The sequence below is a fragment of the Homo sapiens genome, chromosome 9, assembly GCF_000001405.40.
Source record: "Homo sapiens chromosome 9, GRCh38.p14 Primary Assembly".
Lineage (NCBI taxonomy): Eukaryota > Metazoa > Chordata > Mammalia > Primates > Hominidae > Homo > Homo sapiens.
The window spans coordinates 138,235,940-138,251,972 of NC_000009.12; the positions used below are offsets into that span (position 1 = coordinate 138,235,940).

The 16,033-nt window shown below is 45.0% G+C and overlaps 2 long non-coding RNA genes across 4 annotated transcripts in view; both read left to right on the forward strand.

The window, feature by feature from the left end:
• Nucleotides 1-16,033, forward strand: part of FAM157B (family with sequence similarity 157 member B) — a 55,218-nt gene that overhangs the window by 19,084 nt on the left and 20,101 nt on the right. The window contains exons 6-10 of the long non-coding RNA NR_146178.1: nucleotides 7,681-7,790; nucleotides 8,855-8,986; nucleotides 12,277-12,492; nucleotides 13,376-13,441; nucleotides 15,599-15,657. This is a non-coding gene — a long non-coding RNA (family with sequence similarity 157 member B). The remainder of the gene's footprint in view (nucleotides 1-7,680; nucleotides 7,791-8,854; nucleotides 8,987-12,276; nucleotides 12,493-13,375; nucleotides 13,442-15,598; nucleotides 15,658-16,033) is intronic.
• On the forward strand, nucleotides 1,451-5,011 carry LOC124902321 (uncharacterized). Of its 3 annotated transcripts, none has more exons than XR_007061890.1 (2): nucleotides 1,451-3,878; nucleotides 3,968-5,011. It is a non-coding gene; the product is annotated as an uncharacterized LOC124902321 (long non-coding RNA). The 3 variants fall into 3 exon arrangements; XR_007061889.1 differs by having other exon boundaries at nucleotides 1,451-3,874; XR_007061888.1 differs by having other exon boundaries at nucleotides 1,451-3,874; nucleotides 3,971-5,011.

Here is a 16,033-nt window from a genome sequence, read left to right on the forward strand (position 1 = left end):
TGAATGCTTAACTGTACGTTTTCTTCCAGAGTTTTTAGTTTTCACCTGTTTTGGTCTTTGATCCATTGTAAGTTAATTTTTTATGTGGTATGAGGTAAGGATACAATTTCATTTCCCTTTATGTGGATAGCAAGTTGCCTTACATCACTTGTTGAGGACAGGATTCTTTCCCCAATTTACTGGTAATGGACCTTGTCTAAAATCAGTTGAGCATAGAGGTATTGTTTTCTGTCTGGACTCCCAATTCAATTCAGTTGATCTTTCTGTTTATTCCTGTGCAAGGATCCCACTGTTTTTATTACTGTTCCTTTGTAATAAAATTTGAAATTGGGATGTGATCAGGATCAGCTTATCCACTTCTGTCCCAAGGCCTTTGGGATTTTTGTAGGAATAACATCGAATCCATGGATTGCTTTGTGTACTTTGGGAAACTTAACAATGTGGTCTACAAATCCACAAATAAGATACATTTTTACATTTACTGGAAGTTTAATTTCCTTAAGTAATGTCTTATAATTTCCCTCATCTAAGTCTTGTCGTTTCATTCCATTTATTCCTAAGTATAATATTGCTATTGGTATTGTTTAAGGTAGAATTTTCATAATTTGGTGTAGAGATTATTCATTCCTAGCATATACATATAAAATGGAATGTTTGGCCAGGCACCCGGGCTCATACCTATAACCCAAGCAGGTTGAGAGGCTGAGGAAGGGTTAGGGTTAGGGTTAGGGTTGGGGTTGGGGTTGGGGTTAGGCTTAGGGCTTAGGGCTTAGGGCTAGGGCTAGGGCTAGGGCTAGAGTTAGGGTTGGGTTAGGGTTGGGTTAGGGTAGGGTTAGGGTTAGGGGTTAGGGGTTAGGGTTTGGGTTCGGGTTTGGGTTATGGTTAGGGTTCGGGTTCAGGTTTGGATTTAGGGTTCAGGTTTATGGTTCGGGTTAGGGTTCAGGTTAGGGTTTGGGTTGGGTTTAGGGTTAGGGTTTAGGGTTAGGGTTTGGGTTAGGGGTTAGGGGTTAGGGTTAGGGGTGAGGGTGAGGGTGAGGATGAGGGTTAAGGTTTAAGGGTTAAGGGTTAGGGGTTAGGGTTAAGGGTCAGGGTCAGGGGTTAGGGTCAAGGGTTAGGGTCAAGGGTTAGGGTTAGGGGTTAAGAGTTAGGGGTTAGGGATTATGGTTTGGGTGAGGGTGAGGTGTGAGGGTGAGGATGAGGGTTAGCGTTTTAGGGTTATGGTTAGGGTTAAGGGTTAGGGCTAGCGGTTAGGGGTTAAGGGTTAGGGGTAGGATAAGGGTAAGGATTAGGGTTAGGGTCAGGGTAAGGGTAAGGGTAAGGATTAGGGTTAGGATTAGGGTAAGGGTAAGGGTTATGGTTAGGGTTTTAGGGTTAGGGTTTTAGGGTTAGGGTTAGGGGTTAGGGGTTAGGGTTAGGGTTAGGGTTAGGATTAGGGTTAGGATTAGGGGTTAGGGTTAGGGTTAGGGTACTGTAAATAATTTCACATTATTACTAATAATAAATTATTATTTGTATTACACTATTACATAATGTAAAGGCTATTAAGACATGTTTGTCTTCAAAGAATGGCCTTGGTTTCTGTGGGCAGTGCCTCCTCATGGAAGGGTAATGCATTCCTGCTAAATCATGGACAAAACGGGCTTCCAGGAGCTACAGGCTGCAGCAGCAGCTCCTCCTCTAAGTCCTTCACTGCCTCAAACTCTTGTTGACTTTGTAAGCTTCTTTCAGTCTAGTTTTTTCAACAGAGCTAGTATTTCATGAGGTTCTACTACATACCAGGTTCCAGAAATCTAAATGCCTTTTGTTTGTTATTTTTCACTAAATACAAATCACAACTCTCTCCTCATTACTCACACAACAAAATTTAGCTGAGGGAGATTGAGTGACTTTCCTAGGGTCACATAGCTACTAAGAGCAGAGCCGTGTTTAGATTCATGTGGGAATATTGAACACAGAAATGAACCAGTGGAAACATCCTGTGTTCCAAAAGCCTACTCAAGCCATTTGTTCTTATTTTAAGGAAAATCTTTATGCTAATTTTAAACTCCAAATACTTATGAATGGCAGAGATCTACAGATTTGATTCTGATGTAAGAAATGATGGTCACCAGCCGGTTACTGCTACCACCCCACAACCCCGAGCATACTGGACGAATGTCTAAGCCTTGTGGTTAGTGGGGACAATGCTGGTGGAGTCTGAAGTTGTCATGCAGTGACTCATGCAAGCTTAGGCAGATTTGGTGATATATGACACAGAGATGCAAAGAAATGTTGTAGCTGACACACACAGGCTGGCTCTGGGAGATGCAGAAGGAGCACGTCACCCAAAATAGAGCCAGACAGACATCCTTAAGGAAGGAGCAAAGGGGCTGCATCTTAAAGAATGTAGAAAGGATTTGTCATGAGAGATGGGGCAGGAAGTTCTTCAGAGGCAGAGGGAGAGCATGAGAATGTTGGGAAGGGAGGAGAGATTCTTGCACATCTGGGAAGCTGACAATCCATCAGCATGGCCAGAAGGAAAATAAGGAGGAGGAGCAGAAATAGATGAGGCTGGATATAGAAGCAGGGCTGAAGCTGTGTCGATTGTGGTAAAGAGTTGTGATTCTATCCAGAACGCAATAGGTAGCATTCTAAACAGAGATCTTTTAAAACAAGAGTCAGCAAGTATTTTCTGCAGGGGGCTAAATGTTAAATATTTTAAGTTTTCCAAGCCATATGGTCTCTCTCTCAATGACTCAGCTCTTCCATTATACCATGAAAGTAGCCAGAGACATTATGTAACACATGTATTGGCTGTGTCCCATTACAACTTTACTTACAAATGCAGACTGTGTCAGACATGGTCCATGCATGGTAGTTTGCCACACCCTGTTTTAGAAAGCTCAGGTTTATGATGTGATGGAGAATGCCTACAAGAGCTCTTGTTTTAAATGGTAGAGTGAACATACACTGGAATTCTATCCTGCTTGACCCAAGCTCTTGATAGCGAAAGGTAGAAAAGATAGATGGTAAATAGATAGATAGATGATAGATAAAGAAAATACATAGCTGTTCCAGAAAACAGAAATGGATAACTTCATGAACCAAAAGCAGAGTAATATGCTTTAGAAAGGAAGCAGGCCGGAAAACCCACAGTTGCAAAACAAATAGAATTTCCAACTGCCTCTTGTAGCCCCTTCCTGGAAGTAGTCACAGCCCAGGGTGTTCGACTACTTCCTCTGTTTTTTGTTTGTTTGTTGTTTGCTTTTCTGTGGGGTTTCTGTTGTTGTTGTTTGCTTTTAAAAAAAAATTCCCTTTCCCTGCTTTTTTGTCACAGCAGCCTTTGTCACTTCAAACACCGCAAGTGTTCTTTAAAAAAAATTATATCAACCTTTCAATTAAAATGCAACATGTCTGAAAGTTGGTATCTGGAGAGGTGAGTTGGACAAAGGAGCCCTTGTTACTGCACGTTTTCATTCTTCAAATTTCACCTTGCACGCAGTAACAGACAGTGCACAAAGCCACTTCCTTATGGACGGAAATTCTGAAATCCTTTTATGCCTGGCCTTTCCATCCTTCAACTTCCCCTCTCCCACGCTGTGAATGATTGTATTGGACATTTTTGTTTTAATGTCAGTGACAGGGGAACACAGGTAGCTCTAATATAGCTGTGACCCAGATGCTTCTGTTTCTAGCATGTATTTATTTTGTAGCAAACATTTACATCCATGATGTTTCACTGTCTTTTGAAAATAATTAGGCAATATCTCATCTGAGGTAGGATGTTTCTAGGGGTTGTGTTCTGAGGGAGGAAAACTAATCTGTTCTCTTTCCACTGCATTCTAGGAACAGTAAGAGGACCTTGTGCATGAATAATTTGTTTCCACACTACAGAGTGGGTAATAAGCAGACTAGTAAAAACAATTCTGCTTCACTTCAATAACAGCCTCCTCCAACTCATTTTTTCTCAACAAACTTATTTTTCCAGCAGAAGAATCCCAGACTTCTTAGAGAACCCAGTGACTTTTTGCACCTTAAATCTGTGAAATCCTCATGTTTTCTTCTGCCGTATCCATAGTTCAAACAAAGATGAGGCAAAGCTAGACGCATTCCTGAAGGAACCCAAGAAATTCCTCTCTTTCTTTCTCTGGAATGAAATGAATTCTCTAGACCACCAGTTCTAACCTTCAAAAACCAAACCTGTTTGTGAGATCTTCAAATACTACTGTAGACCCCAGTGTTTATTCATTAAATTTTTTAAATATTTGTTTTATTTGGAATCAAAGTATTTGTAATTTTAGTGTTTGTATTAATATCAGGGAGAAATGTTTAAATCTGTCTTATGCCATATGTGCCTCTGGCTTATTGCCCAATTAATTGTAGTCTCAGGCTAAACTTTGGTTTCTGTCTTTAATTTTTGTCAGAAGAAATATAACTGATCTCAAAACATCTGCTTTTATTGTAGGGGCTCGTGCTGCCGTCTCCATTCTTCTCTCTTTTCTTGCAATCTGGGTGGAAGTTCTTTAATATGAACATTTCAACCACCTTCATTCTACCATGTCCACTATCAGCACATTCAAACTGATCCAGCCAAGGCTGTCATCTTAGGCCAGGGATTTTTTAGGAATCTATTTTGCTGTGATGCGGCTGGCACCCCTTTGACTCACTGTATCACCCCAGGGTTCTTTTCATTTCAGAAGCCCAAGAGGGCAGAAAAAGAAGTAGGTGAGCAATTAAACACTCTGAGTCAGGAGCGTCTCCCCTTGCGTTAAGCAATGTTGTAGAACATCGATGTTCTACATCGATGTTGGTGACCTTGGTACCATTTTGTCCACTTGATTGGAAAAGCCAGTCAATAATTTCAGGTCACTGTTGGCCTTAGAAGAAGAGCCCAAAGGCAACAAGCAAAGGCGCTGGTGTCCAGTCGCCTTCTAGAAGCATTTTCACTTTCCCTTAAGGTTTCCCTTGATGAACATAGAAGTACTGTATGTAGAATTGACCCAGTGCTGCCCTGGCAACTTTGTATATTAGGCCAAATTTACATTTCTTACCTTTATGAGAGGCACCCTGGTAGGCTAGTGGAGTTACACACAAAGTCTGATCTCAGCTGCACTGTCCAGAAATGCAACACGGTCCAATCAAATAACATTCTCTGAGCCTGTTTCTTTAGCTGTGAAAGAAGAATAACATACCCATCTAAAAAGGCAGCTTATTGTATTTGATTGGTCTTTTATTTTCTATGAAACTGTGTTTAACACAGTAATTATTTTCATTTGTGTACTACATTTGTGTTGTGTTTTTGGTTTTAGTTTTGTTTTTGAAATGGAGTCTTTTTTTTAGTGGTTTTTTGTTTTGTTTTGTTTTGTTTTGTTTTTGAGATGGAGTCTTTCTATTGTCACCCAGGCTAGAGTGCAGTGGCGTGATCTCCGCTCACTGCAACCACCACCTCCCAGGTTCAAGTGGTTCTCCTGCCTCAGCCTCCTGAGAAGCTGGGATTACAGGTGCCCACCACCATGCCCAGCTAATTTTTAAAATATATTTTTAGTAGAGATGGGGTTACAACATGTTGCCCGGGCTGGTCTCAAACTACTGACGTCAAGTGATCCACCTGCCTTGGCTTCCCAAAGTGCTGGGATTATAGGCATGAGCCACCGCGCCTGGCTTGTTTTAAAATAAGGGTTTCTTGGCTAGGCATGGTGGCTCACACCTGTAATCCCAGCACTTTGGGAGGCCAAGGTCAGTGGATCACCTGAGGTCAGGAGTTCGAGACCAGCCTGACCAATATGGAGAAACCCTGTCTCAACTGAAAATACAAAATTAGCCAGGCGTGGTGGTGCATGCCTGTAATCCCAGCTACTCAGGAGGCTGAGGAAGGAGAATTGCTTGAACCCAGGGGGCAGAGATTGCAGTGAGCTGAGATCGCACCATTGCACTCCAGCCTGGGCAACGAGCAAAACTCTGTCTCAAAATAAAAAAAAGATTTCTTAAAATGATATTTTCAGTATTTTATAGATGATGTGTAAGCAGCAAGCTTAATAGGATGTTACCCGACACTTTGCGAGACTGGCAGCTGATTTGATCCAGATGTCTCTAATTCTTTTTTCTTTTTCTTTTTCTGTTTTTTTTTTTTGACAGAGCCTTGCTCCGTCCCCCATGCTGGAGTGCAGTGGCACGATCTCGGCTCACTGCAACCTCCACCTCCCGGGTTCAAGCGATTCTCCTGCCTCAGGCTCCCGAGTAGCTGGGATTACAGGCGCGCGCCACCATGCCCAGCTAATTTTTTGTATTTTTGGTAGAGACAGCATTTCACCATGTTGGCCAGGCTGGTCTCGAACTCCTGACCTTAGGTGATGTGCCTGCCTCGGCTTCCCAAAGTGTTAGGATTACAGGCGTCAGCCACTGTGCCTGGCCCAGATGTCTCTAATTCTAACATGAGATGTATTGCAGGATCATAGCAGAGTGAGTTGCTGATGTATCCAGAAGGAAACGAGCATGGAACACTCACGACAGCTGTCCTGAGAAGTGTGTGTGTGCTGTGCTTGAATATCTCACTGCTCATTTATACACAGGCTTTCTGGTGACTGAGTTAACAGTATCTGTTTCATAAATAATGTAGCCCTCTTTCTTTCTTTCTCTCTCTCTCTTTTTTTTTTTTTTTTTGAGACAGGGTCTTGCTCTGCTACCCAGGCTGGAGTGCAATGGTGCAGTCTCAGCTCACTGCAACTTCACCATGCCTGGCTAATTTTTTCTTTTTTTTTTTTTTTGAGACGGAGTTTCGCTGTTTTTGCCCAGGCTGGAGTGCAATGGCACAATCTCGGCTCACCACAATCTTTGCCTTTTGGGTTCAAGGGATTCTCCTGCCTCAGCCTCCCGAGTAGCTGGGATTACAGGCATGTGCCACCACACCCGGCTAATGTTGTAGTTTTAGTAGAGACGGGGTTTCCCTATGTTGGTTAGGCTGGTCTCAAACTCCTGACCTCAGGTGATCTACCCGCCTCGGCCTCTCAAAGTGCTGGGATCACAGGCGTGAGCCATCACTCCTGGCCTAATTTTTGTATTTTTAGTAGAGAGAGGGTTTCACTCTGTTGGCCAGGCTGGTCTCGAATTCCTGACCTCAAGTTATCTGCCTGCCTTGGCCTCCCAAACTGTTGGAATTACAGGCGTGAACCACCATGCCTGGCCAGCTCTATTTCTTTAAGCCTACATGTTTTGCACTTGTTAAAAGTATTTGAACATACAATTACTCAGCTTCCCTTGTTTACGCGTGAATTTTGTAGAATCTTAAATATTTTTTCCAATCTAAGCTTTATTTTATCCCGTTTCTTCTATATTTGTATAACTTTAGGCGGCTATCTTCATTGAAAGTTTTTTCTCAAAAGCCTTAAGATAGAACGTAGTTCTTGGCAGCAATTTGAAAGTTATTTGAGGAGAAGGGGAGACTTACAATGATGATTCAAATGAAGGAAACTAAAAAGTAATGAAGCAAGGCAGAGGAAAAAGCAGTACTCACTTGAGCACATCCCAAAAGAATAACATTTCAAATGTAACTAGAAAAAAGTATGCTGAAGTTCGCAATACAGAAATAATTATTAATAAGATAGCTTTAAAGCCCTGCTCAGCTTTTGAATGTTGGGAATTGACCCAGAGGTGGCTGTAACCTAAGATGTTTCCTTCAGTAATGACCATTTTTTCTTTTTCAAGATGATGATTATTCCCCACCTTCTAAGAGACAAAGACCAACGAGCCACCACAGCCACCAGTCCCAGAACCTGCCAATGCTGGGGAACGGAAAATGAGGGAGTTCAACTCTGGTAAGTTCTCAGCGAAATCCATGACCTTTTCCTTTATCTTCTGGACTCTCAGTGTGACTGATGAAAGTTACCACATGCTCTGCAGGGGGAAATGGTTTAGCATGTGTTACTACATCTTAATCACATCTTTGTAAAGCCAGGAGCATTTTACAAGTCACGTTACAGACATTGTTTAAACATAGTCTGTATTTACCAAAGTATAGGACATTGTATCATCTCATATTAATTAGTTAGTTGGCTCAAAATTAGTGCTAATGACTTAGTAATTCAGTGATTTCTGTTAGCTTTAAAACCTTTATTTCAGAACTATTTCACCTCTTGGTTTTCATTTTTGCGGTGTGTCACTGCCTGCTGGCTGCTAATTTATTAACTCCCAGTGAATCATGTCCTGTGAAGGGACTGAATATTAGTGGCAATGTATGTTGATGATTTGTATTTTGAATAAATAGTTTGAATACATAGAACATTAAGCTTGTATACATTTTGAAAATAGTATTTTAATATTCTACTGTGTCATAGTTACAATGATTGGATATATATTGAATTTATATGTACTTTAAGTTGTTATATGTTTATGGTCTTTAGCATTCTAACGTGCAATTGTATATCTGTTAAGTCTTTTTTTTTTTCGAGATTAGACTGATTTATTGAGGCGTCTGTTTGATGCCACATTAAGTGGCCCAGGCTTTGTGTAGGGGTTGAGGTTAAAGCAGGAAGAAGGGTGGTGAGAGGCGGGGCACCAGGGTTAGGTTGGAATACCTGGGGGTGCTCTGAGGCTCCCCAAGTTTCCCTGGTCTTGGCCGGCTGTGCTGCTGGCCTGGGCATCTGATGGGCCTGCAAGGGTGGTCCAGGGGCTAGGGCAGGGACTTTGGAGTCACGCCGTTGGCTTTGAATCCAGACTCCTACACTTGGTAGCTGTGAACTCTCCATGCCTCAGGGACCTGCAGAACTGAGCTCTGTCTGAGCCAGGTTCCATCCAGGCACTGCGCATCCATCCAGAGGGGCACTGCCTCAGGCTGCTCGCTGTTCACTGCCTTCTCAAGCAGACCCTTGTCTCCTTCTAGGCCCTCACAATCCAGTGGAGGAGACGAAACTCATCTGCCTCTGTCCCTCTGGGCACGCCTCATGCCAGGTGCATCTGTGGACAGGGGCCATGCTCCTGGGCTTCCAAAGTTGGAGAAAGCTGCCAGGCTCAGGTGGGTACATCACAGCAGCTGCTGCCCTCTGAACACAGTGACAAAAGAACACTCTGGGCCTGGAGCCCTGGTCTGGGGCATTGGGCAAGGCTGTTGCACTTCTCTGATCCCATTTCCCCATCTGGAAAGTGCGCTGATTGTATCTCCCTGTGGGCACTGAGGGCTCAGTGTTAGTTTGAGAGCCAGCATCTGGGGTTTGGGCTGTAATTCCCCGTCAGCCCCATAGCTGCGGGGAACCAGGGACTTTGTTGGGATTACCCTAGGCATCAGTTTAGCTTCCTGCCCCTGGCTTGGGCTCAGCACCTGAAGTAGTCTAGGGGGTAGGTGGTGCTGGTGGGGGCTGGGGCTTTTACCCAGACTGAGGTCACACCCAGAGCCAGAAGTCTTGGTGCCTGCTCTGGGCAAAGGTGCCAGCCTGTGTGACAAGAGCGAAACTCCGTCTCCAAAACAAAAACAAAAAACCTTGCATCATTTCAAGGGGCTCACACCTCCCTAAGGGCCTGGTAATTGGCTGGCTCTGGCCTGCATCTGGCCCCGAGGGTGTAGGTAACACCCCACCTTACCTGGTTTCTTCCTGCCAGGGCCAATCTTCAGACCTCAGGACTTTACAGCCTATCCCACCTCCCCTCTGGCCAGCCTTGAGCCCTTGTGGGTCCAGCACTTTTTCCAGGCTGTCTCCTGGTTGTCCTTCTGCCTCGAGGCCTGGCTCATGCTGCTCCCCCTCCCACTCTCCAAGACCCACAAGGACCACTCCACACCCAGCTCAGCCCCGTCCCCTCAGATAGTCCTTTCTCTTTCCTCAGGTGGCCAGGTGCATATCTTGGTGTGAGGACCTTCACTGTATCTGGGAATGCCTACTGGTTACCTTGGTAACAGAGAACAAGGCATTTACCTGATATGAGTGTCTTGGTTCACTGTCTACATGGCTAGGGAGGGAATCAATAATAGGCTTTTCACTTGCTGCAAGGGCCGGTTCTCCTGGCCCCATGGCTCTAGGGATGGAGGACGCTGCAGGAGATGCAGCGCTCACTTCCTAGCTGAGGACTGTGGGTCATCTCAGGGCGATTTCACAGTCCCCACATGCCCCACCCCCTCAGCTCTGCAAATACCAAGCAGTGCAGCCTGCCTAGGGGATGATGGGCTCGAGAGTGCCCAGGTAGTGCCCAGAGTGCCCTTGGCAGGCCCCTCACCTGGCTGCTTCCACAGCTCTGTAGCAAGAGTTCTAACCTTTTTTCACCGTGAAGCCTGCTGAGAATAAGAGCTGTGGACTGTTTTCCCAGAAAGGCATGTACATGCTCTCCACACAAAACCTTTCATTGTGGCCAAGCACAGTGGCTGATGTGATCCCAGAACTTTGGGAGGCGGAGCCAGTCGGATCACCTGAGGTCAGGAGTTCAAGACCAGCCTGGCCAACATGGCGAAACCCTGTCTCTACTAAAAATACAAAAAATTAGCCAGGCGTGGTGGCAGCCACCTGTAATCCCAGCTACTCCAGAGGCTGAGGCAGGAGAATCACTTGAACCTGGGAGGCGCAGGTTGTAGTGTGGTGAGATCACGCCACTGCACTCCAGCCTGGGCGACAGGAGCGAAACTCTGTCTCAAAAAACAAAACAAAACAAAACCTTGCATCCTTTCAGGGGGCTCACACCTCCCTAAGGGCCCAGTAATTAAACCCTTTGGGCCTGAGGGTGAGAAACTTTGTCTCAGTTCTTCCCCAAGTGATCAGCCCAGGGGTAAGGAAGGAGAAGCCAGAAAGCAGGACCCATGAGAAGGGCCCCCTCCTGGAGTTTGAGGCCCACTCCCTCCTGCCCCTGCCTCTCCTCTGTCCAGGACTCCTCCCTGCTCTGCCCCACTCCTGGGGCCATAACCATGGGGAGCTGTGGTTTTCTACAGGCCCCTGGGCACAAAGTGGGCAGGCTCACCTGGAGGCGATCAGAGTAACATGGCAGGAAGTGAGGGGGAAAGCCGCCCTGGAACTGCGCCTCTCTGCCCCCTGACGTCACTGGCGTGCACTCCTCCCTCCCCTCAGGCAGTGGCATGAGTTCCATGTGAGCGCTGTCCTGCTCCCTCTGCTGCCTCTTTTTTTTCTTGGGGCTGCCATAACACTTTCCCTTCCCCAGCCCTGCCAACCTGGTGGGACATTGGGCTTCCCTCTCACAGGGTCCTGGGGACAGGCCCATCCTTTATCATACCCACAGAGAGACCGTTTTTTTCTTCAGAACCTGGGGAGCAGCCAGGTTCCATGAGTTAAATGCAGATCTGAACCAAGCTGGGATTGGGGTACACACTCTCCTCTACTGAAAAGTAGCTAGGGATTCCAACTAGGTTAGAAGGAGAGTGGGGCAGAGCCAGACCAGACAAGGACTGATCACCTGGAAAAAGCCTGCCATCAAAGGTCTTGGCAAATGCTGGGTGCAGTGGCTCACTCCTATAATAGCAGCACTTTGCGGGGCTGAGACAGGTGGACTACTTGAGGCAAGGAGTTCGAGTCCAGCCTGGGCAACATGGCAAAACCGCATCTCTACTAGAAATACAAAAATTAGCTAGGCATGCTACACTCCTGTCATCCCAGCTACTCAGGAGACTGAGGCAGGAGAATCACTTGAACTGGGGAGGCAGAGGTCGAAGTGAGCCGAGATTGTGCCCCTGCACTCCAGTCTGGGAGACAGAGTGAAACTGGCCTCAAAAAAAAAAAGAATATGGCCTTGGCAGAGAGGGGCCAGCCCAGTAGTGCCTTCCCTTGGGTTTCTCCTGGGTAGGCCTCTGCCATGAGGAGGTGCTTCCTTCTGCCTGTCCGTGGCCCACAGCAATGGAATGTCTGTTTCTGGGGGTTGGGTGGGAGAGTGCTGGCAGAACTGGAAACCTTCAGGTGGGGTTTTTTTGTTTTGTTTTGTTTTCGAGATGGAGCGTCGCTCTGTCACCCAGGCTGGAGTGCAGTGGTGGAATCTCAGTTCACTGCAACCTCTGCCCCCCTGGGTTCAAACAATTCTCCTGTCTCAGCCTCCTGAGTAGCTGAGATTACAGGCATGTGCCACCATGCCCGGCTAGTTTTTGTATTTTTTGTATAGATGGCATTTCACCATGTTGGCTGGGCTGGTCTCGAACTCCTGACCTCAAGTGATCCACCCATCTCGGCCTCCCAAAGTGCTGGGATTACAGGCATGAGCCACTGAGCCCAGCCCCTTCAGGGGGGTTTTGAGGCTTCACTACAATACTAGTTTCCTGTGGCTGCTGCAACAAATTACCACAAACTTAGTGACTTAAAACAACCAAAATGTATTCCCTTACAGGTCTGAAGGCCAGAATTCTACAGTAAGTCCTACTGAGTCAAGGTGGGAGCAGGGTCGGTAGCTTCCGAGGCTCTGCGGGAGAATCCGTTTCCTGGCCGTAGAGGTGGCCTGCACTCCGCAGCTTGTGCTGCCCGTCTCGAATGACTGGAGTTTCCTGCTTCTGTCACTACACCTCCCACCCTCTCCATCACCTGCTCTGCTCTTACAAGGATCCGAGTGAGTACATCAACCCCAAAAGCCAAAGACCCTTAACTTCATTATATCTGCAAAGTTCCTTTTGCCATATAAGGTCATGTTCACCAGTTCCCGGGATTAGGATATGGGCATCTTGGGGGCATCAGCCTGCTACAGCTAGGCTGCAAAACTGTTACACCCTCCTGGTGTTTCAATGATTGGGAGAAAAAGGGTTGGCATTTTTTGCTTAGGGGTCCCTCTTAAACTTGTATCTGTAAGGTCGGGGGTCCCTCTTAACCTTGTGTTTTTGTTTTTGTTTTTTTTGAGGTGGAGTCTTGCTCTGTCATCCAGGCTGGCAGTGGCGTGATCTTGGCTCACTGCAATGTCTGCCTCCTGGGTTCAGGTGATTCTCCTGCCTCAGCCTCCTGAGTAGCTGGGACTACAGGCGCCCGCCACCATGCCCTGCTGTTTTGTATTTTTGGTAGGGACGGGGTGGGGGTGGGGCTAGGGAGGGGGGTTTTGGCTATGTTGCCCTGAGCTCAAAGTGATCCGCCTGCCTCTGCTGCCAAAGTGCTGGGATTACAGGCCTGCACCACTGCACCCGGCTGCTGTAAAGTCTTATTTCACACAGCTGAGACATGTTTTAGGAAGTTTGCTAAAAGACCCCTGGAGACCGCCTCATTGTGACCTCCCTGTTATTGTGTTTAATTTGATTGAACTTTTCTGCCCTCCTGCTTTTCAGCTTCTCTAATAGTCTCCCATTAAACCAATTCTAAGAACCACCAAGAAGGGGAAATTTTTTCTTGAAAGCAGTAAAATGATATGGACTGTTAGAATGTAAAATATATGAAATCAGTCATTATATGTTAGTGCTGCTCTGACATAGGGACGTGTTATTGAGAAGCAACTTTTGCTTGGTTTTCAGAGAAATGGAATCATCGTATCGCTGATCTACGTAAACAAACTGAAGAATTGTCTGAAAGAAAATATGGTATGTCTAAACTGGAAAAGTCTTGTAATCTTAGGTTCATGGGCGTTTACACAGTGGAGTTACTGTTCATCATGGGGGTACCGTGGACAATCCCAGGGCTGCCGGCGAGTCATGCCATCCTTATATGTTTCTCCTTGTAAGGTGCTTTGTAGTGTCTACACACTTTGTTTCTAGATTGCTGCAAAGCTGAGGAAAAGTTGTATTTCTTTAGTTATTAGTTAGCATTTCTTTTAAACTTTCAGTATGGAGATTGGAAATTTATTTACATATTTATTGCAAAGCCCTGGATCTTAGGAATTTCATTGAATTATTTATTTATTTTTTTTGAGACGGAGCCTCACTCTGTCGCCCAGGCTGGAGTGCAGTGGCACGATCTCGGCTCACTGCAACCTCCGCCTCCCGGGTTCAAGCAGTTCTCTGCCTCAGCCTCCCGAGCAGCTAGGATTACAGGCACCAGCCACCACGCCTGGCTGATTTTTGTATTTTTAGTAGAGACAGGGTTTCATGATCTTGGCTAGGCTGGTCTTGAACTGCTGACCTCCTGATCCACTCACCTCAGCCTCCCAAAGTGCTGGGATTATAGGTGTGAGCCACCATGCCTGGCCAAATATTATTTTTTTAAATGAATTGTTTCTCTTAGTCTGCTTTGTTAAATTTGGAATTCATCTGGGCGTGGTGGCTCACACCTGTAATCCCAGCACTTTGGGAGGCCAAGGCAGGCAGATATCTAGGTCGGGAGTTCGAGACCAGCCTAACCAACATGGAGAAACCCCGTCTCTACTAAAAATACAAAATTAGACGGGTGTGGTGGCGCATGTCTGTAATCCCAGCTATTCGGGAGGCCAAGGCAGGAGAATCGCTTGAACCCAGGAGGCAGAGGTTGCAGTGAGGCGAGGTTGGCACCATTGCACTGTAGCCTGGGCAAAAAGAGCAAAACTCCATCTCAAAATAAATAAATAAATAAAATGTTCAGTACTCACCAAGGTGCCCCTGTTGTCTCTACTTTTATCTTGATGCATCACTGAATTGATGTTAGATTTCAAATTCATCATTACACTGATACTATTCTATCCTGAAGCCACCTTTATATAGTGATGAAAGAAATTAGCGATTTGTTATTATCCTCTCTCTGTTGGTATATATCAAATACTCACCTAAAAAAGAGCAACAACCAGTGGAAAACATGATGTTTTTATTTGGGTGACTATTTACTTGTAACCTACTAGCAAACTATAAAATTGTATGATATGCAGAATTTTAACTGAATTGCTTTAAGTGAACATTTAAACATGATAAACAATATTGATGGTATTTATGTTAATATACTTAAAATGAACATTTTTCTTCATCATGAGTAATATAACCTACTCCTCAATGAAAACCTAGCACTAAATTTGCTAATGTATTCAATAACATTTCCATAATATTTTTAGTTACATGCTTAAGGTTCTCTTAGTGTTTCTCCCACTTTTTAATAGCTTATGCCTTTTTCACCTTTGGTTTTTTTTTGGTTCATTTTAAAGCAAAAATCTCACAACATGTGATATCTGGAAACACTGTAACCTAGTGGTAAGACCATAGGCCCTGGGGACACAGGCTGGCCACGTCTCTTCTCCTGTCTGAGCTTTAGTATCCTCTTTTGTGGTCATGAGAACTGAAGATCTGTCCCGAAGATTTGATAAGATAGTAAAGTGCTTCACATAATACCAGACATATAAATACACAGTAAATGCTTCCTTCTTATATTTTTATTGATTGATTGATGGAGACAGAATCTTGCTCTCTTGCCCAGGCTGGAATGCAGTGGCGTGATAATGGTTTCTGCAACCTCCACCTCCTGGGTTCAGGCAATTCTCCTGCCTCAGCCTCCCGAGTAGCTGGGATTACAGGTGCCTGCCACCATGCCCAGCTAATTATTGTACTTTTAGTACAGACGGGGTTTTACCATGTTGGCCAGGCTGGTCTCGAACTCCTGACCTCATGATCTGCCTGCCTCGGCCTCCCAAACTGCTGGGATTACAGGTGTGAGCCACTGTGCCCAGCCTGTCTTTTCTCTTCACACCCGCAGTTCATGATGAAATATTAAATATGTACTAGTGGATATTACTTTGCTGAATATTGCCTAATGAATATTAAGTATTTATTCTCACCTTTCAGACATGAACTTATGAATTCAACAGGTGAAGATTTACAACTTGATAAATCAACTTTGTCAGGTACGTCTTCAGTCAAGTCAGATTAGAAGATTATGTGAGGTAATTAACACTTAACATTGATTTAATGGTAGCTTCCACATGAAATAGTATGCCTCTAAGTATTAATTATGTCCTAGGACAGGAGAATTCATGTTGTCAAAATTCTCATACTCTCTAGAACAATAAACTCATTTTCTTTTTATTAGTAAATATTGCATTTATGGGTAGACAAAACTGAAAGAACAATATTTGTTCTACTTTTGAGATGCAAGATTCATCTGGCATAATGCATTGAACAGGTTATTATTGAAGTCTACACCAGTCAACTGAATAAGCATTCATCAAATGTCCATGATATGCAGGACATAAGTTTTCTTTTAGAGTATGGAACCATGCA